General features: G+C 38.2%; 1 protein-coding gene across 55 annotated transcripts in view; it reads left to right on the top strand.

The window, feature by feature from the left end:
- Positions 1 to 26,995, top strand: part of PTPRD (protein tyrosine phosphatase receptor type D) — a 2,298,757-nt gene that overhangs the window by 2,044,139 nt on the left and 227,623 nt on the right. The gene's annotated exons all lie outside the window — the stretch shown is intronic.

Here is a 26,995-nt window from a genome sequence, read left to right as displayed (position 1 = left end):
TACTTTAGGCAGCACCGAGAACTTAGAAGACCAACACTTATAGACATTTTCTAAAATATTCATATTTATGAATTCTGTAGAAAATGGAGACTGTTATGCCTCTGAAAGAAAATACTTGCAGAAAACTCAGGTTTATACTGGAGGTTTTTATTTGACTTTTGATTCAAAAATCAGTAGAATTTGTTGTTGTAACCAGATTAAAAATAATCTAGGCTGTCTAATAGTGATATAGAAAATTAAATCTACCAGACACATATAGCCCTGACCTTTCTCTCCTACTGAAGCTGAGAATGAGTCTGGTGTGTTCTCTTAATTGTGTTTTACCGAAGGTTAATAATCAGCCTTTCAAAACTTCTTGGCTCAAAATCCATTTAGCCCAGATGTCTCTAGCAGCTTAATTACCAATTTCTTTATAGGTGATTTAGGAGTAATAGGAATGAAAGGTTCCAGGGAGATGATGGCTAAGTCATTGCTATTGACAGGTAATGTGTAAGTTGCTGTCACATTGCCTTGAAATCACTGTTAGTAGAGAGGGAGGGAGGGAGGAATCTGCCACAGTATTCATGAAATTCTTGGTCCTGGTTTAATGTCTTTGAGATTTGGAGACCCAAAGAATAACTCCCTAAGGTTTTGATAAATGGTATTAAATGTAACTTAGCATCTCTGCAATGTATAGAACACTTGTATTTAAAACATTTTGCTGACTAAACCAAAATCTATTGGATTTTTAAATTATTATTAATGATTAATTTGCAGTATTTAGAATATAACATGTTTCTCTTTCTATTATAATGGATTGCCTGTAACTGTCAGCCTCTGATACATACTAGGAGAATCCATTAAAAATGGTTGACAGCCAGTTTTGTTAAATTTCCGTGAAAATAAGGTCTCATTTCTAAATATATATTCATAGTGATGACTTTAATATTTTAGTCTTCATATAGAATTAATTAATTCAAAAATGTCACAGTATACAAGAATAAATTGTGTGGCTTGGAATCTGAAGACCTATGCCTTGATCCTGATTCCATGAATAAATGTATAGAACCTAGCTTGGTCATCATATGTTATTTGTAAGAGAGAGAAATAAGACTAAAAATATCTATAATTACTTCCAGCCTAAAGGTTGTATGATTCATTCATTCATTGAGGCATTTAAAAATATCTACTGTGTACCAAAAATACTGAATTTACTGAGCTCAAAGAGCACACAGTCTAGAATAGGAGATTACACGCAAATATAACTGAATTCATTTATTCATAAAATATTGAGCAGCCACTGTGGCACTGAGGCCTAGCAAAATGCTGGAAATACCATGATGACTGTGCCATTCCATTCCTCAAAGAACTCAGGTCAGTGAGAAGACGTGCTTTCCCAGATCACTGCAATGTGGTATCCTTAGTGAAGAAGGACATGTGCCCATGGTACTATGGAAGCAGGTGAGTAGGACACGTTAACAACACCTTACTCATCTGAAATTGGAGAAGAGGTCAGGGAAGATTATTTTGGAGAAAGTGACTCCTGAGCTATGCCTTAAAGAACATTTGTCTGAGAGGAGGGAACAGGATTACAGGCAGGTTGTGATATTTGAGGCAGAAGCAATAGAGTGAATGAAAAATAAGAGCAGCCTTGAAGCCTGGAAAAGGCAGGTACCGCCAAATTCATCATGGAACCCATCTGCATTGTTTGTGTTTTTTGCATTTCTGGTAGTTATTCATTGCATCAATGTGAAACATTGTTTATAACGTACTGATAAAATATTGTGTCATTTAGGAAAGGGAGAAATTACTTACAAATAAGATAAATAGGAGAGATTCGTTGGAGAAGGTAGCATTCGAGAGGGGTGGTTTTACGGAGTTTATGTGAGGAGAGATGTAAGAAACATACCTTGCAAAAGGGTATTTCAGGTGATAAGAAAACCCCAAATCAAGAATGAAGTTTTTACTTGGAGCAGCAACCAGGACTGATGACCAGATCTACCCAAGGCAGTGTCCAGGCTGGAGACTTTTTGAGAACTGCAACATTTGACCATCAATATACCTTGTCTAGAATTTTTAAGAGGAATGGGCTGGAACTATGTTTACAATCACTTTTTATCTTAAAATGTATAGTTTCTGGGTAATTCACAATGGATATGAATTTGACTCCATTCTTATTTGGCAAATAATCATGAGTGTCTAACGTATTTCAGTCTCATTGCTAGGCGCTGAGGATCAAATATGAATTGGATAATCCTGCCCTCAAGAAGCTTCAGTTAGTGAGAGCTACTGGTGATCTACTCAGATCTGTTCCTTCAACTCTTGCCCTACTCAGAGGTGAAGTTATGGCTATAATGAACATTGCTGTTAGGGCCAACCTCTGTCTTTCACTAAGCTGTTTCATACTGAGGATATTATCAAAATAGGAGGGTTTAATGATCAGCTTTTGATATGCTGTTAGTCTTATAGTTCAAACAGCCAAATAAGGGATGTAACTCCCAAGTATCCTAGTCTGCTGTCTGTTACTTAGGAACATGAGTGAAGAAAACAAGAGAGGCTCAGCTATTCGTACAGATTTCGAAACAGCAATTCTTTGGGTGGCTTTCTTCTTGAAGTAGAAATACACCTAACCCTAGAGCAAGCAGTTCTCCTACATACACCCCTCTTCATATGTTTCTAACAGTAGCTTAAAAAACTACCCCTGCCAAAGAGAATGCATTGGTCTATAAATGAAACTTGCTATACACACACACACACACACACACACACACACACACACACACATATTTTGCATTCAGTATATATCTTTTCAGCGGAAGTATTTTCAGTTTCTGTTCCACTGGTGATTTTGTTCTATACCAGCTTACCTGGGAGCCCTGGTTTATAACCTTCACATATTTGATCTATAATACTTCAAAACCAGTCCTGAGGTACCTGAAATCTCATAAAATTTGTCTTCTTGTTTTCTCTCTATATACAAACAGCATTTGAACTGCAACTTTCTATTTCTGTAATATTCCATGGTTCCAAAAGGTATGCTTTTGCTATTAATGCTATTAATGATAAAACTTTGATGAATAACTTACCCCAGTTCTTTTTGATAAGCGTCTCATAAACTATGCAGAACAATTAGCCAGAAAGGTGAAATATTTTAGGATCTTTAGCAGTTTAAATTTATAATTAATGGAAGAAACTGAATCTTTTGTTGTATTTTTTCTTTTTTCCTTCCTCTTGATGTCCATTTTAGATGTGCTCTTTTTCATATAATTTTTATGTCAAGTATGGTATTTCCAGTATTTAAAAACCAAATGCACCTATTTCTGTATGGTAGCAACAAAGATCTAAAACGTGAAGTGTCAAGGGGAGAAAACATGGGAGGCAAATGTTTCCTGAAACACTACTCATGCATAGGAATTACATTTCAAATTCGAGTCTAATGCAATGTGCAGCATTTAGTATTTGATAACAAATGAATGTTATCCTTTCTGTGGGTAGTGAATTAATAGTTTATTTCTTAAGCAACCAAATATGGTTCTCACATGAAAGCAGTCTATAGGAAATTACTATTCTAGGGAAAAAAAGGTCAAATTTAAAATAGCAGTTGATTACATTTCAAACTTCATTGTGCGAAGAGTTGTCATATCTGGCAGTGTAAACTCCCCGGTCCTCCAGCCCACCCCTTTCCACACTTCCTCCCTGTTCCTGTGACCATGATTTCTTATACTCAAAACCACTGCGGTTAGCTTGAAACTCCACGAGCAGGGAGCAGATTACATGGCCACATGTTCGTCTCTCCCCGTCATTGAGTTTTTACTTCTAATTTTGTGAGTAGCTTCATAATTACTTTCATTTGAGGGCATTTTTCAATGAAGGAGCTTTTGTATTTCTAGAGACAAATTTTGCTGAGGATTTTTATCCAACCAGTGGCTACATTTTGAGAATCTCATGATTTCTTTCCATTTTAACACTTACAATGTGGCTAGCATGGATTAATATTTATTTTGCTTAGATTATTTAGGCCCTTTAAAAAAAACTTTCTTAGACTCTTCCCTCCAATAAGTGAATGCACACCAACCCACCATACCTACATATGCATTTGGATAAATAAAAATTTCCGGAGATTCTTGTCCAATCAAGATCAATGTAACATGACTTGATTGTGAATGTCAACTTTTAATTTTTTTGAGACAGAGTCTTCATTCTGTCGCCCAGGCTGGAGTACAGTGGCACGATCTTGGCTCACTACAACTTCCGCCTCCTAAGTTCAAACAATTCTCCTGCCTCAGCCCCTGAGTAGCGGGATTACAGGCACGCACTACCACATCTGGCTAATTTTTTGTATTTTTAGTAGAGATAGGGTTTCACCATGTTGGCCTGGCTGGTCTCAAACTCAAACTCCTCAAGTGATCCGCCCGCCTCCAGCTTCTCAAAGTGCTGAGATTATATGTGTGAGCTACCGTGCCCGGCCTGAATATCAACTTTTATTTTAAAAAGATTGTTGAAACACGCCTGATAGTATGTGTGTATGTATACAGATGCATCATGATTTTTGATGAGGTTACATCTTGATAAACCCATCATAATTTAAAATATTGTAAATCAAAAATGCGTTTAATATGTCAAACCCACTGAACATCATAGCTTAGCCTACCCAATTTTAAACATGCTTAGAATACTTACATTAGCTAACAGTTAGAAAAAATAATCAGGAAACACAGTACATATAGTGTATTGGTTGCTTATCCTCCAGATCATGTGGCTGACTGGCAGTTACAGCTTGGATCTGCTGTCCAGCATCACCAGAGAGTATCGTACCACATATCTCTAGCCTGGGACATCAAAATTCATAATTCAAAGTGTAGTTTCTACTCAATATGTATTGCTTTCGCACCGTCTAAAGTTTGAAAATTGTATGCCGAGGCCGGTTGCAATGCCTCACGCCTGCAATCCCAGCACTTTGGGAGGCCAAGTCAGGCAGATTCACTTGAGGTCAGGAGTTCAAGACTGGCCTGTCTGACATGGTGAAACCTGGTCTCTACTAAAAATACAAAAACTTAGAACTGAGTGTGATGGCACATGCCTGTAGTCCCAGCTACTCTGGAGGCTGAGGCACAAGAATCACTTGAACCTGGAGGGTGGAGGTTGCAATGAGCTGAGATTGTGCCACTGCGTTCCAGCCTGGGTGACAGAGGGAGGCCAAGGCGGGTGGAACACAAGGTCAGGAGTTCAAGACCAGCCTGGCCAACATGGTGAAACCCCATCTCTACTAAAAATACAAAAATTAGCCAGGTGTGGCGGCAGATGTCTATAGTCCCAACTACTCAGGAGGCTGAGGCAGGAGAATTGCTTGAACCCATGAGCAGAGGTTGCAGTGTACCAAGATTGCGCCACTGCACTCCAGCCTGGGTGACAGTGCAAGACTCTGTCTCAAAAAAAAAAAAAAAAAAAGTCTACATCAAAACTTTGTAAGTAGGAGACCATCTGTATATGCATATGTGTGTATATATGTATAGATACTTATTGAGATACAATTGATATGTGATCAACTGCACATATCTAAAACATACAGTCTGATAGTTTTGACATATGCATAGACCTGCGAAACTTCACCACACTTGTAATTCCTCCATCTTGGCTGTCTGTACTGTAGCCTCACCAATACGCTTCCCAGGCAAACAGTCATCACCCTGTCACTATATATTAATTTTTATTGTAGACTTTTATATAAATGGGATCCTACAATGTGTATACTCTTGTGCCAAGCTGACACTCAGGCTTATTATTTCTATATTCACTCATGTTGTTCAACATATCAGTAGTTTATTATTATTTATTGCCAAATGGTATTCCATTACATGGATATATCAGTTTATTTATCTACTCATCTGCCTTTTCAACAATTGGTGCTGGAAAAAGTGGGTGCCCATATGCAAAAAACACTAAGTTTGACTCATTCCTTGCACCAAATACAAAAATTAACTCACAGATCTAAATGTAAATCATAATACCATAAAACCTCTGCAAAAAAAAAAAAAAAGAAAATCTTTGCAGATTGGATTAGGAAATGTTTTTCAGCTACAACACCAAAAACATGAATCTTAATGATAACCTACATTGCATTAAAATTTTCTCCTCAAAACATATTATTGGCCAGGCACAGTGGCTCAGGCCTGTAATCCTGGCACTTTAGGAGGCCGAGGCGGGTGGATCACTTGAGCTCAGGAGTTTGAAACCAGCCTGGGCAACATGGTGAAACCCCGTATCTACAAAAAATGTAAAAATTAGCCAGGCGTGGCAGCACATGTCTGTAGTCCCACCTACTTGGAAGGCTGAGGTGGGAAGATCACTTGAACCTGGGAGTTCGAGGTTGCAGGGAGCTGAGATTGCACCACTGCACACCAGCCTGCATGACAAAATGAGACCTTGTCTCAAAAAAATAAAATAAAATAAAATAAATAAATAAATAAATTATTATGAGAAGGAAAAACCAAGCCAGGAACTGAGAAGTTTTCAAAAAATACTTAATTTTTTAATCTTAGAAAGGTGACAATATAATTAATATTGTCATATGTACTTTATAGAATATAGATTTAGCTTAAAGTTTTATGAAACTAAGTAAACTGAATAATGAGAATTGAGAGTCCAGATAATGAGTCCTCAGTACTTTTACAACAGAACTATCTTATCCACCTTATAGCTTATTGATGCCTATAGGAAATTCTGTTAATCAAAATGGGAAAATCAGAATCTGTCACTGTCACCATTTTGGATATATACCTTCATCTTCAATCTCCTCTTGCTTCAAATGTATCAGTTACATTTGTTTCCGTTTAACAGCATTTCCAATTGATATTAGGTTATTCCCAGTTTGTGGTTAAATGGTAGGTCTTTAGGAAACATCTTTTTAAACTCTAGTAGGACTATAAGTAACATTCTAGTGATGTGACATGCATTTTTTCAAGATGGATGGCATTTAAAGGAGTTATAGTTTTGCAAAGCATCTAACTTTGGCACTGGAAACATTTAGATCACTAAATATATATAAATATATATGTATATTTGGACATCTCAACCGTTACCCTTACCCTTTACAATGGTGCCAACACTGCTCCTGAATGGAAAAAAAAAAAAAATCCAAGGATCCTTTCCTAAAGACTTTATAAAAATAATGAATTCTTGAAATTTGAATTTATATATCACTGAATCACTGACGCAGGAATTTTCTGACAATTTGCAGGGTTCCAGCTGGTGATGTGCCCTCCACTCTCCACCCCCCCTCACCCCCACCTTGCTCAGCCCTGGGCCTGCTGCTGGAGGCAGTCAGCCCGCTGAGTCTCGCTTGTACACCGGCTTGGCCCATGGCTGAGCTGGGTGCACCCTAGCCCACCTGTGTTATAGTTTGTACTCACATTTGGGGGTTCCTGAGCTCTTATCCTGCGTCCAAGAAAAATGAGGGTAGGCTGACAGTTGAAGGGTGAGGATGGGCAGAGAAGAATTTTATTGAACAATGGAACAGCTCACAGTCAGGGGCAGCGGTGGGGTGGGAGGATTCCTCACCCCTTCAGTCGGGTGGTTTTTTTCTCAGTGTGGCTGGGTCTGGGGCTTTTTATGGACTCAGAATGAGGAGTATGTGCTGATTGGTATGTGAATATTCAAAAAAGATTAAAGCGAAGACACCACTCAAAGGTGGGCAGGACAGTGTAGAAAACCAATTAGGAAAGGGTAGGGATAAGTAAAATACATGAAGGGTGGGGATCAATCAGAACAAAGTGCAACAAATGGGAAGACAGGTTCTCAGTCTGGTCCAAGGATTTAATTTTTAGCTTGGCTTTCAGGCTTTAAACTGTCTTCAGTTTGGAGGTGGAGTTTAAAAGGGGATCCTGCCCCATCTGACTAGGCATTTGACTGCCTCCTTTCACTGTCATCACCATGTCTACGGAGTGTTTTTTTTTTTTTTAAAGGAATGCCTTTCTGCATCTTTATTTACACTTAGGCTAAAGAGTCCTGAGGAATTTGTCGTTTGAATCCAGCCTATAAACTGTAACCTCAAAAAGACAGATCCATTTGCCAGTAGAGATTTCCTTCTAAACACTGGATAACCCTGTTGTGAAGAACATTTTATGCTCCTTATACAGGCACAGCATGATCATTGCATCACTTTGAGAAACCACTGTTTACCTTAAAGTCTTTAAAGGGTCCTGTTTGTTTAATGGTTGGGTGTGGGAAGATAACTACAAAGGTAATTCATTCTTTCCATTGCTATGTCATCTGCAATTCATTGAATGACTTTGTTCAGCTCCTCTGCAGGGTTATATAGCTGGATACTCATCTATACATACATTTTTTTAAATTTAATTATATGTTGATTACTCTTAATATGAAAGAGCCTTGACAATGAAACAGTGTATATATGTGTGTGTGTGTGTGTGTGTGTGTGTGTGTGTATGTATTTTTTTTTAAGTTGGTACTGATCATTTGACTTGCCTCTGTCTAAATTACCTGTATTGTTTTCTTCCACTCCCCCCATTTTGCATTTGGCCTTGTTATCAACAAAGTTTTAAACTTGGTTATGGACAGATAGATCATGTTATCTCTTAAAGATTTGCATGGAGTTTAAAAATTCATCTCATTTTTATAACTTGGTTGATCAACATGTACAGATTATGATTTTTTGAATTGAGAGATTATAAACATTGTTCAAATTATAATAAACCCACAAAAAGCAGAATGATTACTTTTAAGGTTATATGAATAGAGGCAAGCTTAAAACATAATTCTTTCCTCACTAAGAAAAGAAGTAAAATCAGTTTTGGATTTACTTCTCCCTTGATGTTCTGCGATCTTACTTGCTTACTGCATATAGACTTTCCTAAGAAATTCCTCTTAATGATACAGTTGAAGATAGTAGGAATGAAATCAATACACTATTACTTTGTTGGAGATACACAAAGGTTTTCAATAAACACTATTCTGCAAATTAATGTTAATTGCTCTAGGTAGAGAGAAACACCTTATGAAGTTGGAAGCTATCCATGTACATTGATAATGTTCTTTGAGAGTCGAAATGGTGTTCTTTGAAGCTGACTTCTCATGGGCTAGTAAATTAAAGCTGTGAGAGCTAAACTGTGATGGGCTCAAGCAATCAACACAGGTGTCAGTTTGAAAGGTGATAGAGGGATTCTTTTGCAGCCCCACTTGATAGCACCTTTCTGAAAGTTGTGACTGAAGCTTAGGCATTGGGACTGTTGCCAGCATGGTTCTGTGTGCAGAAAAGGAGTGAATCTGTTGGGCTTCTCATCCTTGAGAACTGAAATTTATTACTTTGTCCTCATGATGGGAACATCCACAAAGGATGGTATTTAAGGATGATAACTTCTGGTTTCTCTATTCAGATGAAATAAGCATAAACCTAGCCCAAGAGCAGGTTTCAAAGTGATAGTGAATTGCATTAAGTAAAATTTGATTGCACATGATACAATATGAACATTTGAATTTTTAAATTGATATAGTTCATATTTGAGAGGTATATGTGATATTTCGATATCTGTATATAATGTACAATAAAATTAGGATAACTGGGATATTTATCACTGCAAACATTTCTCTTTGTGTTGGGACCATTATAGTTCATTTCCTCTAGCGCTTTTGAAATAAACAACGAATTACTGCTAAGTATAATTTTTCTACTGTACTATTGAATGCTAGAACTTATTTCTTCTAACTGAATTTTTGTTGATTTTTTCTGCATTAATTTTTTCTTTTCTGGGAAAATTAAAATATTATGTCATCTCAGTCAGAATAAAAACAATTTGGCATAAAAGAGATAGAAACAAGTAAAACTTCAGTTAGCTATTAGACTATGTAAATGTAGGCCAGGCATTCAGATTTTAAACGCAGTTGTACTTCTTGTGAATATTATTATTTTGAGTGTTTTTGTATTTACTCAATTAATTGATAAGTTCTGATGAATATATATTACCTCTAAAGGAATTTTGAAGTAAATTTTAATTTTTTTAGAATGCCAAGCACCATTTTGTGGCAATTACCATTTTATTTCAGTTCGCCATTGCATGTAAGTCAAGTCATGATTACACGTAAGATAAGGTGTCATAAAGGATGTTCACCCTATTTTGGTAACATTAATATGAACACTCACCATAAACTAAATGGATAGTGATGACAACTGACCTAAAATAATAGACATTTTTTATTAGATAACGGTTTGTACAATAGCCCAAGCCCGTTGACTGTCTGGGTTCTAGGCTTCATCTGGCCTGCCATGTAAACTGTTAATACGTTTCAGAGAGATGAAAATCTGACACATGTGAAAAGGCTGTTTCTGAGCTCTCTCCATCAGAGCAGGCCTGAAAGATGTCCAGGCTATTTCAGCTCTCTGGGAGGTGCTATATGGGGAATCCAAGGTTAGGATGTGGCACGTGGCATGGCTCTGTGAGACTTGCCTTGTTGGTACCACATCCTGAGAGGGAAGAAAGGAGGGAGAGTCTGTTACTGCTTCTTGGTGATGAATCACTATTAGGAAATAGTACAGGTGACTCAGCTCATGTTTATTCTTCCTGGCAAGGCTGAATGAAAAACATAAAGGAGAGAAGATATAGAGGAAGAAAATAAAACATCTTTAGTTGTCTCCGTTTGCATAAGGAAATAGCTAATTAATGATCCTGGAGGAAATCCTTGAGTATTCATTTAAAGTTTAAAACAGTCAAACCTAGGTAGGGAGGCAAGGCCTGCTTTGTCCGTCTCTCTGTACCTCTCATTTTTAAAAATTGTCTGACACACATCATTATTTCTATATCGGGAAAAGAATCAAAGGCTCACTTATTGTAGCAGAAATAATAGATTAATTAGTTACATAATTTTTTTTCAGGCTTCACAGTTAATAAAGCGTTCTCTAAATTTATAGTGGTGGCTTAAAGGAGACAAAAAAATTAGAGTAAACTTAAGTAAGTAGAAAATGATCTTTACTTCTATGTTTATTTCCTTGTTTCTTGATATGTATACCTACAAATTTATAAATTTATATATATACACATATATGCATATGTGTGTGTGTATATATGTGTGTGTGTGTGTGTGTGTGTGTGTGTATTTTGTTTTTCTTTTTTTTTTTTTTTTTTTTTTATTGAGAGACAGTCTCGCTCTGTCACCCAGGCTGGAATGCAGTAGCGTGATCTCGGCTCACTGCAACCTCCGCTTCCCATGTTCAAGCGATTCCCCTGCCTCAGCCTCCCCAGTAGTTGGGATTACAGGTGCCCACCACCATGCCTGGCTAATTTTTGTATTTTTAATAGAGACATGGTTTCGCCATGTTGGTCAGGCTAGTCTCGAACTCCTGACCTCAGGTGATCCGCCCACATTGGCCTCCGAAAGTGCTGGGATTACGGGGATGAGCCACCGCGCCCGGCCCAAATATATATATATATATATATATGTATTTACAAATGAAAAATAAAGAGTTTTGTTTCTAAAATAAGTTTCAAAATTGGAATGGACTAGAATAGGTATCATTTTGCTTCCAATAACAGAGCATGACATGTATTGAGTTCTTGCTGCATATCAGACACTGTGCTAGTCTTAGGCAAGCTGTTGATTTCAGGAAGTTCGCTCTCATTAGTAATGACCGTTGTCAAGACCACTGAGTAATCTTCAATGTATTCATGGCGCCAGAGTGGTTCATCTTCATCAAGGAGTAGGTTCCCCTGTACCTCGGCTAACAGAAGCAAACTGCATCACTCTGTCTGCCTCCCTTCCACTGTGGCCCTGCTCTCTGAATGGGCACTCCTTCCTCTCACTGGTCCTCCTTTACTGTATACCACAAACCACTTCCTAATAATCAATTTCAGCTACAAATTGTGCTGATATGAAACAACCAATATTGCCAATATTGTATTAATTTATATAATGGGAGAATTTAAAGATGTATGTGCATATAAGGACTATAAAGGTCAACTCGGGACCTTTTATTGGCTTGTCTTTCTAATTCATTAGGTTACTCACCTTGTACCATCAATGAAAGACATGGGTTCGATTCTGTCACCTATGCTATCTCTTTTAGCCTCCTTACCAATCCAGATGCTGTAACTTCAAATATTTTCTGCTTGGATTCTTACACTTTTTTTACCTGTCAAAATGATAAATTTGTACATTCTAAGACAGAATAAGCATATGTAACTAAGTGCATAGTGAAAGTGACCTCTTATAATATAGCAAACCCTTGTATATATGCAAGTGGACTCCTTGGATAGGAAAGAAATGTGTGGTTATATTAATTAAATGCATATTTATTCTAACAGATATATAAAGAAATATAAAATACACAAGTATGTGTACATGCAGATGTATAGTTAGCCTTTGCTAATTAAGTGCTTTTAGCACAGTATATTTTGGTGGCCTTGAATATCCTCTATATACTTTCAGCCATTTCCAAGCATTAGAAAGTCCATGATTGGCCACAGATTTTTGTTGTTGTTAGTGTATATTACACATTTAGTCACAGACTGTTAGAAAAACATTCATGGTTAAGTTTACTCTGGTGTTTTGCAACAGAATTTCAACTTTGACCCATAGTGAGTAATCAAACATGACCCAAATTAGTTATGACATATGCTCTGGACATAGTAAAGTTAAATGCTGCCTAAGAGACCAGACTTATATGCACAAAATGCCTTTAATCTGCATTTCATTGAAGAGACCTTTGAATAAATTTTTAGCTTTCTCAGTGACAGAGTAGTGTAAGAATGACAGAAGTCTTAAGCAGGGCGAGAGAGCTTGAAATTCTTGCCTTCTGTGCTGTAAAACAATGTAACAGCCCAGATGTTTTCCCAAAGGGTAGCATGCTCTTTCCAGATCCGCCAAGACACATTTTTTACATCCATCTGTCCTTGTTCCACATCAGAGAAATGAAGATGTCTTCACAGATCTGCATCTGCTCTGACCCATTTCTGTACTCCCATGCTTCCCCAAGGGTGCAATATAAAGTCCAAGATGGACCTTGACCCGTGGTCCAGTGGAATGTTTATCAGTCTTCTTATTTGTTGCCCACTTTCAGTCCATCTGCAATCTGTGCTCCAGTGCTTCCCCTACACGTGTAGACTCTCTTTCTAGATGTAGACAAAGCATCCTTCCTGTTACTTCAGATTTCATTGACATCCTCATTGTCCCTGCCTGACTATAGGAAACTGCATTCTAAGTTGTGTCTAAAATAAAAACCAGATCCCATTTTGGAGAGATGTCCAAAGGAAGATGATAGAAAGCCAGAAGGCAGCAAGGCTGATGATACTGCTGCCATTTAAAGACTGTGTTCCTCTGAGAAACTTGGATTTAGTGTTTAACATCAAATTACCCATGGGGAAATACACATGGACTCATATAAAAACCTTCTGCATTAACTCTCAGCTTCCCAAAGCTAACATGTGGTTGATTACCAAGTAAGAGTTTGTTTGCTTTTACTCCCTTTTAGTCTTTTTGGTTTTTTCTCTGTTGCCCAGGCTGGAGTGCAGTGGCGCAGTCACAGCTTACTGCAGCTTTGTCCTCCTGTGCTCGCAGGATCCTCCCACCTCAGTCTCCTGAGTAGCTGGGACCACAGGAACACACTGTCATGCTTGGCTAATTTTTAAAAGTCTTTTTATACAGACAGGGTCTTGCCATGTTGCCCAGGCTGGTCTCAAACTCCTAGGCTCAAGTGATCCTCCCAAATTGGTGTGATTACAGGCATGAGCCACCACACCTGGCCCCTTTGAGTCTTAAATATTTGAGGAGGCATCTGACTTATTCTGGGAAGTTAGTAAATTATAATAGAAGAAATGTTATTCTCTTGATATAGTAACATTTAGCAAATTAGAAGCAAGTATCTGGAGGAACAATTTTTTATATATATAGTGTATATATACATAATTGGATTTTCAATAGCTAAGTCATATATACTCATAAGTACAAAGAGACTTAAGTTTCAACTTGATGGACTCTGATCCTGGATCACCTTACTCTTCCAACACCAAAGCCCGTAAAAATGATAGAAAGCGTATAAAAACACAAATATGTTAGTGTTTTGTGGGGTTTGCAGGCTTCTGTGTGCTGCTTCATATATTTCTCTGACAGCTCTACAGTGCTTGGACCAACAGGTCAAAATAAACAAACGTGTTGGACAGTGAATGAATTCTTATCCCAGGATTAGCTTTCTGTTTTTTAGCAGAACCATTATAAAATTGTATTTCTGTTTATACCTAGCCATCTAAATTTGCTTCAATAGCCTGGCACTCAAAGTCCATTTCTTAGCCTATTAATGTGTCACAATTGGACTTAGTATGGCCTCTGTGTCAGTCAAACCACTTTTCTTCTTTTTATGGGGTGATCATATACCTCTCTGTGTTCCCAGCACATGCTACACTCCAAGTTTAAGTTCCTTGACCCAAAGGATATTTATTTATAGCTCATTTAGAGGAAAACAAGGACTTTTTCCCTACTTTTTACTTTCCCATATTTAAAATATTTCTATATTAAAATCAATTTCTGTGATATCAAAACATGAGAATAATCATTTTTTTCTATTTCTAGCAATATCAGATTTATTTCTCTTCCTCATAACTCAGAATCCTCCTTGTTAACAAAGCTTTTATTTATTTTTTAAATCCTTCCTTCCCCAACTATAATCTGTGGGTTTTGTTTTGTTTTGTTTTGTTTGAGACAGAGTCTTGCCCTGTCGTTTAGGCTGGAATGCAATGGCATGATCTTGGCTCACTGCAACCTTCGCCTCCTGGGTTCAAGTGATTCTACTGCCTCAGCCTTCCAAGTAGCTGGGATTACAGGCGTGCAATACCACGCCCGGCTAATTTTTTGTATCTTTAGTAGAGAGAGGGTTTCACCATGTTGGCCAGGCTAGTCTCGAACTCCTGACCTCGTGATCTGCCCACCTCAGCCTCCCAAAGTGCTAGGATTACAGGCGTGAGCCACCGCGCCCGGCTAATCTGTGGTCTTTTTCTCTCTGAATTTCGTAAGAGACTGGCCGCCTTCTTTTTTGTACCATACTGTAGGTGCTCCATCTCCTTAAGTTAGGATAGAATTTACAGGCAAACAACAAGGTCATAGCTTATTAAAATAGGGTTATATAGGTTCTCTGAGCATAAGAAGAAGGTTCTTATAGGGCTTTATGGTTAGAAAAAGAGAACATACATTTTAGACGCTTGATCTTAGCCAAAAGGCTGAGAAGCGATGAGAGCATACATTTTAGAATGCTGAGTCATGTACCTGTCATAAAGGTATACTCCAGTTCCCCTCTCTCATTTCTTTTCTATAGCTTTCGTATTTATTATTACTATCTCCTGGTAGATAGTGTAGTTGATTGCATAGGGTAAGTGTCCAGTAAACGACTGATAAATAAAGGATTGATTTAATTATTTTAGAGTGGAATTAATGCATTCCACTACTTCAACTTATCAGAAGATACATGAAAGCAAACCAAATTGCTCCTTGTTTTCACGCCACGCCAGGGGACTCAGGCCCACTGTTTGAGCTCTTTCAAGCTGCTTGAGGTCAGAGCAACTCCACATTGACTATTTTCTGCTTCCGTAGAGGGTTTCTACTCTGTGTTTTCCTTTTTTTCTTTCACTAATATTTCTATAAAGGCACAGTTTAACAAAAACTGTATCATAGCATTTTTAAGTTGATTTGGGATCCGAGTTTAGTTGTAATCTATAGGGTGCCATAATATACTTTGTAAAGCAGGTCACTAGTGTTTTGCTCAACTTTTGGTTATAACAAGTTTAACCCAGCAGCCATTCTAACGATTCTTCATATTCTGTGGTTCAGCTGGGCAGTTATTCTAGTCTGGGCCAGCTCAAGTGATTTATACTGTCTCTCTCTTGGGTCTGTGGTCATGTGGCAGGGTAGCTGATGGCTGGGTAATGCAGAATGTGTCTGGGATGTGGCATGCTATTGGCTCTAGCAACAGAGGCAATTGTTCTCCAGAAGTGTTTGTCACACAGCGGCAGTCGTGGGGCTCACAAGCAGCCCCAGTGCTAGTGACTTGCCAAGTATCTACTTGTGACACATTTACTAATGCCCCATTGTCAAAAGCAAGTCATATAGCCAACTCAGAATTAAATTTATGGTCATTATCAATCCACCACAGAGGGCAAAGCGAGAGTAGGTATTCTTGGGGTTGCATTTGGCTTCTTCTTTCCTCCAGCATTGCTCATGAACACCCCAGAGAAGGGTCATCATCCATATTCAGTCCCAGCCATTATGCTGCCTACCTGATCTGGTCGCTGGTTGGATTTCCTATTTGCTTGGCCTCCGTTCATCATGAATCTTCTCCTGAAGCTGCGAGAAGTCTCCCAGGGCTGCTTCTTCATCCTCTGAAGAGTGCAATGAAGGTGGTTTGGTGTGAATGCCTCTGTCCTCTTTCCATGCACCTCACTGAGGCTTCTTTATACAGTGCTCTGGGAGAAAAGTGGATACCAAATCCAAAAACACATGTCATACTCTGTCAAAAACTCTCTCACGCTGGTCCGTTCTGACACAGCAAGAAGAGAAACCTGCTAATACTTTCCCTTTTTGACAGGCACCGCCAAACCATACAATGATTTTTCCCAGAGAGAAAGAACCCTGTACTTTCCAAAGATCTGTGACTTTTCCTTTTCTCAGTTTTGTATATAAATGGGGTTTGGATTTGGGTTTTGCTAGGGTTGTGGTTATTGGTAATAGGTCAGTTCTGTCTTCTGTTAGAAACCGTGCAAGGAGGTGCCTGTGACCATCGCCTGAAAAAAGCAAGGTGATGGTCACAGGCCTCTGGTCCAGGTCATTGATAGCTTCCTTTAAAATATATGGTGGGTATGGGGGCAGTATTGCCAGAACTTTTCAACTTGGATCTTAGCTACAATTGAAGTACAGCCAGAAAAGTTGTACTCAAATCCCAACATAGATTATTTTATCTACACTTATTTGCTTAGTTCAACACATGGTCCATTCTTTAATTGGAACAGGATGACTGGATCACATTTCTGGTTTGATCTATTCCAGGCTTGATTCTGCTGATTATATGTTGATAAAGTCTGTGCAGGTTTATTCTAGGCAAAAAGAGGTTGATTTGGTCCTCATAGTCAACATTTTGTGGACTTTCTTCATTATGTTTGGAAAATTGAATTATTACACCTATAAACTTTGTAGAAATGTTGTTAGCAATTTCCAGTTAAAACTAATTAATGGTTCTCCTTCATGATGAAGTAATTGAAAATGATCATGCTATTTCCCACACAGGTTGTAATCTGAAGCTACTTAAAATGACTGGTACTTCAGGCTCCTGAAAAATTGTATCACTCTTGCATCCTTGTTAGTCTTCTAAAGTTAAGAACTATTAGCCTTCGTTAAAAAACAAAGAGGAAGAAAAGGAAAAGAGAAAGGAAAAGAGAAAGAAAAAAGATCTGCCATATACTCTCTTATCTATAATAATAAGGGTTTTGATTGTTGAAAACAGCAAAAATAAAATGAGATATGAAGCATATAAGGATGAGATTAAATGGGTTTAAATTATGAAAACTTTCATATTAAATGTCTGTTAATGGAGAACAATTATATAAAGCAGAACATTTCCTCAATGGCTTCTGAAATTGAAAAAAAATTTAATTACAAAATATGTTTGTGCTATGGGTCATGGGGCCCAATGCCTACGGAGGTTAAAGTCACTTAAGGAAGGGATTACCAGTTATTAGAAATGTACCCTTTGATATAATTATGAAGAAAGATAAAATACTCCAAGGGAATAAAATAGCTATTGAGCAAAAACCACCCCCAAGTGATAGTCTTATCATATGTTTTCATAGGGATTTGCCATTATGGTATCATGGGAGTGCCAGGAGTGAAATCTATTCAACCACACTGTCACTGCAGAACTGGGATGCTATTGTTGGTGATGAGTAATTGTTATGAGAGCTATAGCATAAGCTCACTGTCGAAGACAGGCCCGTGGAGAGAATATTCTTTTCATACCCAGCCTTGGTGCTGTTGCGTTCTTATTTCTCTAAAGAGCCTGACCCAGGCCTGTACAAAAGAAAGATTGAACACTGGATCTGCCTTGGGTGTTCTTGTCAGGAGTTCTCATAGTTAAAGCTGTAGACTATAGGGCCAATGGATCTATTAAGAAATCTTAGGGCTGAGCTTTTATACTATCAGTTACATTATACCATATTTCTAGGTTTCTCTTGCATATGGATTTAGATTTATTTAGGTGATTGAAAATCATGATCTCTTCTTTAATTTGTTGCTACTCTTTCCACAAATTATGTTGGAGAATGTGTGTGCACATAAGCACATACGTATCTGTTTGTGTGTATGGTAGATACATTATCCAGTAGGTCATTTAACCAACTAAGATTTTGATGGCCTTAAAATATTTCAGGGCAACTAATTATAATAAATAATGCAGAATATAGTTTTGATTTTACTGTTAATCTCATACAATCTAGTAGTAGCAGTAGTGGCAGCAGTAGTGGTAATAGTAAATTTTTAAAGTATTTACTATATGACAAATCTACTTTTGAGTGCCATACATGCATTAAATCATTTAATACTCATGACACTTCAAATTTGGGAGGTACCATATACATGTAAGGTATCTATACTAATCTTAGGAACATGACAATATTTATATTGGAATGTAGGCCTATTTAAAAGGCCAGAGCAATCATAAGCCAATAGAACATGAAAAACAACTTTTTGTTTTCCTAATAATATAAATTGGACCCTAAATTTTTCAAATTCTTGGGGAATACAGTAAAAACTAAACAAGTCTTCTATTTGTTCTTTTCAATTCTGACTGATTCCCTGTTATGGCTTTTGCTTTGAGCTTGGTTCAGTTCAAGTTAATCAGTGATGTTTGTCTTAATGTTGCACTCCTACATTAATTTTAATCTTCTTTCAGATGCTTCATGCCAGGAACTATATGAATGGAGATCTGAATATAGATACGCTAAATGAAAGAGCTTGAAATGGTACCCTTTTTGTCTGATTGCATGGCTTGAAGCAAGAGTTAAGAATAGTATCTTTCTTTTGTAATAATTTTTAAAAAATTGGCTCAATATCCTAAGCTACCATTAGAATTATTGGGTGTTTTTCCTAGATAATTTACAATTTGAATAATTTTATATTTCCTATTTAAATAATTTCCCTTGGGGTTTATATCTTGTGTTTATTTTACTTCATCTCCCCTCTCAAAGTTGCATTACTTTCTCATATGCCCCTCCTCACAAGGCAAATATTCACACATATTTTTCTCTATGTTTAAAATCTACAATGCAAAATAATATAATTGTTCTTATCCCTTTTAGTTATTTAATAGGAATATGCAAAAATGTTACTGTGTGGAAAACATACTTGGAACATTGCAAAACCCCTGTTTCCCATACTCTTCTCACTGTAAATTCTTTGCTGGGTCATCTCATCCATCTGCATGATTCCAGCTGTCATTTTCATATGAGAGAAACACAAATCTTGACCTTTCTCTGTCTCTTCTTGTGTCTTTTATATTAGTGACATCATCCCTGCCTGCTGACCTACCATCATTCACGAAGGAACTAAGAGGCTAGAAACTTGACACTGACTCTTACCCCATTTTTCCTTAAGTAAAATGAATACTCCCTAAAACTGGTGGAATGTTTCTCCAGTATGCGTCTAACTCATCTCTTCCTTTCTCTTCCAACGATCATAATTATAATTCTATGTTATATCCGCACATAGACTTTATCATCTCACATTTAAACTAATATAGTAACTACCTAACTGGGCTTTCTCTTTGTCCCCCTTCACTGCACTCCCTTGACAGAGATTGCTTTTTAGAATGTGAAGATTTTTCTTTTACTTCCTTGGTTCAAAATATCCAGCTGTGGCCCGGGCACGGTGGCTCACATCTGTAATCCCATCACTTTGTGAGGCCGAGGCAGGCGGATCACCTGAGGTCAGGAGTCCAAGACCAGCCTCAACATGGAGAAACCCCGTCTCTACTAAAAATACAAAATTAGCTGGGCATGGTGGTGCATGCCTGTAATCCCAGCTACTCGGGAGGCTGAGGCAGGAGAATTGCTTGAACCTGGGAGGCGGAGGTTGCCGTGAGCCGAGATTGCACCATTGCACTCTAGCCTGGGCAACAAGAGAGAAACTCCGTCTCAAAAAAAAAAAAAAAAAAAAAAAAAAAAAAAAAAATCCAGCTCCAGCTGGGTGCAATGGCTTACACCTCTAATCCCAGCACTTTGGGAGGACGAGGCAAGTGGATCACTTGAGGTCAGGAGTTCGAGAACAGCCTAGCCAACATGGCGAAACCCCATCTCTACTAAAAATACCAAAATTAGCCAGGTTTGGTGGTGCGTGCCTGTAGTCCCATATACTTGGGAGGCTGAAGCACAAGAATCGCTTGAACCTGGGAGGGTGAGGTTGCAGTGAGATGAGATTGTGCCACGGCAGTACAGCCTGGGTGACAGAGTGAACACCTCTCTCAAAAAAAAAACAAAATTCCAGCTGCATGCATATACAACCTAACACATGAACCCCAGATTCCTTCCAGCTTGTCACAGTTGGACCTGGCCAGCCATCTTTGCATCATCCTTCAACAGACCTTGCACACTGTCTTCCTACCCCTGTCCGCAAACAAAAGCATTCAAGCAGTGACCGCATTTCACCTTGAATCCACCTCGCACTTATTTAATCTTTCCTGGACCTTAGATTATACTTTTCCCTGTGCCTTGAAGGCCCTTTACTACATTTCTATCAAAATTATATTCATGCTCTTAGATCTACCTTCTCTGGTCTCCAGCAAAATCGTTATTCACCCCTGTGCTCCCTTAGGGTTTGATTAGTTGACACATTTTCTGTGTTCACATGCACGTTTTCACCTTACATGGTACAACTTTTAAGGGACTGTTTTTGCAGCTGTCAGGTGCTGAGCAATGTTTTACACAGAGAGTCTGAGAGGTGTTCAATAAATATTTGTTAAATTGAACAAATAATACACTGCTATTTAATGTTTGTTAAATGTGATTATAATTTTCTGCAAGTAATGTAAACATGTGCTTTGTACAAACATACATATCCACACATAATTATATATGTATTTTTGTGTGGGTATATATCTTTGTGATATTTATCATTTTTATCATGGGCTGATATTGGAATTAAATCCAATGCCTGTGACTTTTCTAAAATAGAAATAATAGTCACTCTCTTTTTTTTTTTTTTTTTTTTAAATAGGATTCCACCTCATCACGCAGGCTGGAGTGCGGTGGTGTGAACACGGCTCACTGTAGCCTCAACCTCCTGGGCCCAAGCAATTTTCTTGCCTCAGCCCCGAGAGTAGCTGGTACTACAGGCACATGCCACCACACCAGGCTAATTTTTGTATATTTTGTACAGACTGGTTTTCACCATGTTACCCAGGCTGGTCTCAAACTCCTGAGATCAGGCAATCTGCCCACCTTGGCCTCCCAAAGTGCTGGGACCATGCCTGGCCCACTATGCCTATTTAACCCTATCTTTATTTCTTTCTTCCTTTATTTTTTCCTTTAAGTTAGTGTTTACTAAATTAAGTTTTTTATATCCTTTCTGGTAAGCTCACTTTAATAAGTTTATTGTTTTTGGTTTAGCATAACTTTGGGTGACTTTAACATTTCTCAGACTGTTATGGGAAATGTGGATTCATTTGGACATGTACTGACATCTTTCAGATCATCACTTTTGTACATTATATATTTTTAAAAGGTTGTATCTACAATATTTATGCCTGTGTCTATGATAACTTTATTTCAAAGAGATAGAAGAGTTTATGGAGGAATGTTTCACATAGCAAGATAAAATGGTATGACAGTGGAGCAGGAAAATTTTGTAGTAAGACAGGTTAATGTTAGGAGTATAGTTGGAACGTGCATACGGTCCATGCCATGGACTTCTGTGCCTTTGCTAAATAAACCACAATTTTAGCTCCAAATCTACTAACATCTCTAGACGTGAGAAAGAGGGAAACTGTGACACAGATGCATCATGTCCATAACATAAATAACAAATCAGTTCTTTAGAAAAATGATAGTATGGCCAGGTGCGGTGGCTCACGCCTGGAATCCCAGGACTTTGGGAGGCTCCAGGCAGGCAGATCACTTGAGGTCAGGAGTTCAAGACCAGCCTGGCCAACGTGGTGAAACCCCATCTCTACTAAAAATACAAAAAAGTAGCGAGGCATGGTGGCGCACGCCTGTAATCCCATCTACTGGGGAGACCAAGGCAGGAGAATCTCTTGAAACTGGGAGGCAGAGGTTGCAGTGAACCAGGATTATGCCACTGCACTCCAGCCTGGACTACAGAGTGAGACTCTGTCTCACAAAAAAAAAAGAAAAAGAAAAAAGAAAGAAAAACCATAATATTCCCCTGAAACCAGGGGAAAAGTTCTCTCCCATAGTTCTTGAGAACGAGGATATAGTCAAATAGTAAATGCTATTCTCTGCATCATATGCATGTTTAATTTCACAACATTATAGGGCAGTTGCTTGCTAAAGTCCCTCAGGTTAATCTGTCGAATTATAACAAAACACATGTCAGTTTAATCTGTTCTCCAGCAGATGAGAGAAAACAGTCCTGGTTTCTAGCTCTCTCATCCTTTAGCTAACCAAAATCAGTTTTTATATTATATGGAGGAGTGGATGAAATTGCATAACTTCAGCTAATTCTCCATAAATATTACTCCTCTGGCCAAGTTGTTTTGACTGTCATTTTAAGATTGAGATCCCTGATAAGTACAGATGAAAGCAACACTATGTGGTCGGTTAAGTGAAGCATCTCAGATGTTACCACTGATCTGTGTTAAGGCTAAATAGGTACATCTTCTTATGAAAACTAAAGAGGTTGGTGATATTATGTGCTTGGATAGGCTAGCCACCTGATAAATTGAGGTGGACAAAGTGAGCACTTCTACGTTTAGCTAGAGTTTGTATAAAGTTTGTTGGATTTCTTCTTGAACAGGCTTAATGGGAAATTAAGGAATGACCAATTTATACCATAAAGTATGTCTATAATAATTCAAACTTGAAAAACTATTATGAAATTATAAACAAGTATCCATGTCATTCATTCAACTTAAAGCTAAAAGGCCCTTTTAAACACCATTTGAACTTTCAATGGTGATCAATCAGTAGAAATAATGTACTTTAATAAACTGAATGAGGTAATGTCTCTGTAGACTCAGTTATTGAAAATAGTCAAACACTTCAGAATATTTACCAAAGAGCATGACTTTGACTGTAAAACAGTTGATCTGTATAGTCCTTGCCTTCTGAAAATCACTGTGATGAAATCAGTGATAGTTGACTCTGTTCTAGGAAATGTTATACGTTTTATCAAGATACATGGTTTTCCTCGGAACTACCTCATGTCCTGCAATTCATAAATAATTTTGTTGAGAAGTTTTCCATTTGATCTGCTTTTTAGAAGAATAATCCAGAAAACAGCTTGTCTCATGAACTTAGGGATCCTGGAGTCCAGGTACCCCCGATTAACTCTGTTACAGGTTCCATTTGGAATCACGAAAAACTGAATTATCAGAAATGGGTCCCTGTATGTCTGAACAAACAATATTATCTTTGTCAAGGACAAAATATAAGTATGAAAACGAATAATATCCATGATGTTGGGAAATGAATTTGAAAATCAACAAAAATTATTTCTGGAGAGTAAAAGAGAGGTGAGAGTGGAGCAATGTGCTGTTTGTTAAATCTACCACTAGCTGCATTTTTTCCTCACAACCAAGATAAACATTTAAAAACTACGATTGTGTGTGCTAGAATATGTTTAAGTCTCTGTCATATTAAGAAGCACCAGGAAAGTGAATATCCCAGAAAGTTTTGTTCTGAAACCCTGGTCATCATGTTTTAGGAAAGTGAATTAAGCTTTGAAGAAGGCACTTTGATACAAAAGTGCCTCCTGACAATTAAAAAAAAAAAAAAAAAAAAAAGGACTGTCTTTAGTATGACCCAGCTGTTATTGTCAAAGGATTAAGTCTGTGAGAAATCATGCAACTTATGTATAAGTTGGTACAAAAGCAACCGCTGTTTTACCATTGAAAGTAATGGCGACCAGGCATGGTGGCTCATGCCTGTAATCCCAGCACTTTGGGAGGCCGACAATGGTGGGTCACTGAAGGTTCGGGAGTTCCAGATCAGCCTGTCCAGCATGGTGAAACCCTGTCTCTACTAAAAATACAAAAATTAGCTGGGCACAGTGGCTGGCGCCTGTAATCCCAGCTATTCGGGAGGCTGAGGCAAGAGGATCACTGGAACCCAGGAGGTGGAGGTTGCAGTGAACCGAGATCACGTCCCTGCACTTCAGCCTGGACAACAGATGAGACTCTGTCTCAAAAAAAAAAAAAAAAAAAAAGTTATTTTTTTTATTTTCCTGCAAGGTAATTCCTGCTCATATCAATGGCAAAAGCAACTGCTGTTTTACCATTGAAAAGTAATGGCGACCGGGTGCGTTGGCTCATGCCTGTAATCCCAGCACTTTGGGAGGCCGATACAGGCGGATTACTGAGGGTTGGGAGTTCGAGATCACTCGGGAGGCTGAGGCAGGCAAATTGCTTGAACCTGGGAGGTGGAAGTTGCAGTGAGCCAAGATGGCACCACTGCCCTCCAGACTGGGCAAAAAGCAGGACTCTGTCTCAAAAAAAAAAAAAAAAAAAAAGTAATGGCAAAACCTTACTTTTGCACCAGCCTAATGCATGTGATATACCCAATAGGTTCCCAGCAAATGGAAGTCTATGAACCTTCAACCCCCAAAAACCAGTACTATGGTGGGCTATGATATCCATGAAAATAAAACTAAATTTAAAATGTTTTGGCCAGGCATGGTGGCTCATGCCTGTAACCTCAACATTTTGGGAGGCTGAGGTGGGCAGGTCATGAAGTCAGGGGTTTGAGACCAGCCTGGCCAATATGGTGAAACCCCGTCTCTACTAAAAATAGAAAAATTAGCCGGGTGTTGTGGCACGCAGCTGTAGTCCAGCTACTCGGGAGGCTGAGGCAGAAGAATCACTTGAACCCAGGAGGCAGAGGTTGCAGTGAGCCTAGACCATGCCATTGCACTCCAGCCTGGACAACAGAGCAAGACTCTGTCTCAAAAAGAAAAAAAGGAAAAGAAAATGTCTTTTTCCCACTGGGGAAACATTCTTGATTATATTTTATCTTCTGAGTTAATTCCGGAAAAATGACAACATGTGCCCATGTAACTATAATTTGCTCACAAAACCTGTCGTGTATAATATACAAAGCTGTATTGCATAGTATTTTATCTTTATTAACAACAAACACTTAAATAGCATTGGTTATATTAGGGATCAGTGGCTGAAATACACATTCTTCCTTCCTTTAGTGAATGCACATACATTATTTATTCAGCAGCCTCATAGCCATCATCACTGAGCAATTGAAGGGGCATTAATCTTGTGGTAAACATCAAAACCATCCACTCGTGGCTGTTGGGGGATTGGTGGATTATGTCATGTTGCTATGCCAGTGAATTCAAGGCTGAGAAAACTTTTTTTGTTGTCAATTTGCTGTCACTTTGTTAAGAATTAGAGATTGTATGTTTCCCAAATTTATAACAATGTGTCAGTCTATTACAACTAAACGAAAATGAGCAGCTCTGGGTTGTTTTCAATATGTAAGAAAAAGGTTTTATTACATCGCTTCTGAGTATCATCTTATCATTGGAAACTTATATCTATTTAATTGGCATGTTGTATATTAAAATGTGACAGCCGTGAGTTATCTATAAGGAGATTCTTAATTTCATGTCTTCATAGGAACACAACTCAAATTATTCTTCCTCTTATTCAGGAGACCATTGGCTGTCATACTCTAATATTTTGTGAATTCCTTTTCTGGCTAGGGAGAAACTACCCTTGCATGCTCAACTGTCTTCAAATTGCAGGAATTGAGCTATTAGTGGAGAAAACTGATGCAAATCCATGGGTATTTACAACCCATTCTAGACTGGCTCCCAGGGAACTTCTGGTGCGTCTGTAGTGAGGATGCTGAGCTCACGTGTGTAGGCTGAAGCAGACATTTCTTGCCTTCATCCTGAGACAAAGCAGATAAGGAGGCAAACGGCTTGCTCTACGAGCCCCTTTTGCCAATTCCTGAAGGAAAAGCTGGATCAGTGTTCAACTGACAGACACTTGCTTTGTACTTAGTGCTGTGCTCCATCCAGGGGCAGCTCTATTGGTGAGAGTCCTTCATAGAGGCATACTGTTTCATGAGTGCCTCAAATACATGACATTGCTTCCCAAGGGAAGACATGACTGAAAACATATGCAAACAATCATAACATTTCAGAAAGCCATCCCTGATAATTCTCCTTCATTCCTCATCTTCAAAATATTACCAACCCTTGTAAAATTGACATTCAAATTATTCTGAACTTTTTCCACTTCTCCCTATCTCCTTACATCTTCCTAATGTAAGTTTATCTTGCCACAGGGCTATCTCGGTACTATCCTAAATAACATGCCTACATCACTTTATTCTTATTTTTTGCTTTTCCCCAATGCATTTTTCATAATGCAGTTAAAAAGCCATTTTTTAATGCCAATTTTGTGATAAGCGACATACACTCCCAGTACACATGCCCGCAAGCACCGAAGTGCCCACACACTTGTATTTACCTTCAAAACCCTTCTTTCCTTTCATTTGCTTTTGGAAAAAGATCGCAATCCTTTATGTATGCCCTCAGGTTTTGCCTGAAACCCTTTTTCTAATTTGCTGTGTTTAATCTATTGAAGAAGAAGGTCAAGGTTTTAGAATTTATGTGGATGCTTGACAACTCTTCCATCTAGTTGCAAAAGATAAGGGATTTCATTCATGTAACTTTTGGTAGTGGTTTTGGCCATTGTTTGGCAGTTTTACTTTGATTGGGTTATTTTCCAGATGTCTGAACTCCTGTTGAATAGCTTCTTAATATTTTTGATATTTGAAAGCAT

Source organism: Homo sapiens, chromosome 9, assembly GCF_000001405.40.
Source record: "Homo sapiens chromosome 9, GRCh38.p14 Primary Assembly".
In the NCBI taxonomy this organism is placed as follows: Eukaryota; Metazoa; Chordata; class Mammalia; order Primates; family Hominidae; genus Homo; species Homo sapiens.
Note: the sequence above shows the minus strand (reverse complement) of the source record. Positions and strands in the feature narration are given on the sequence as shown.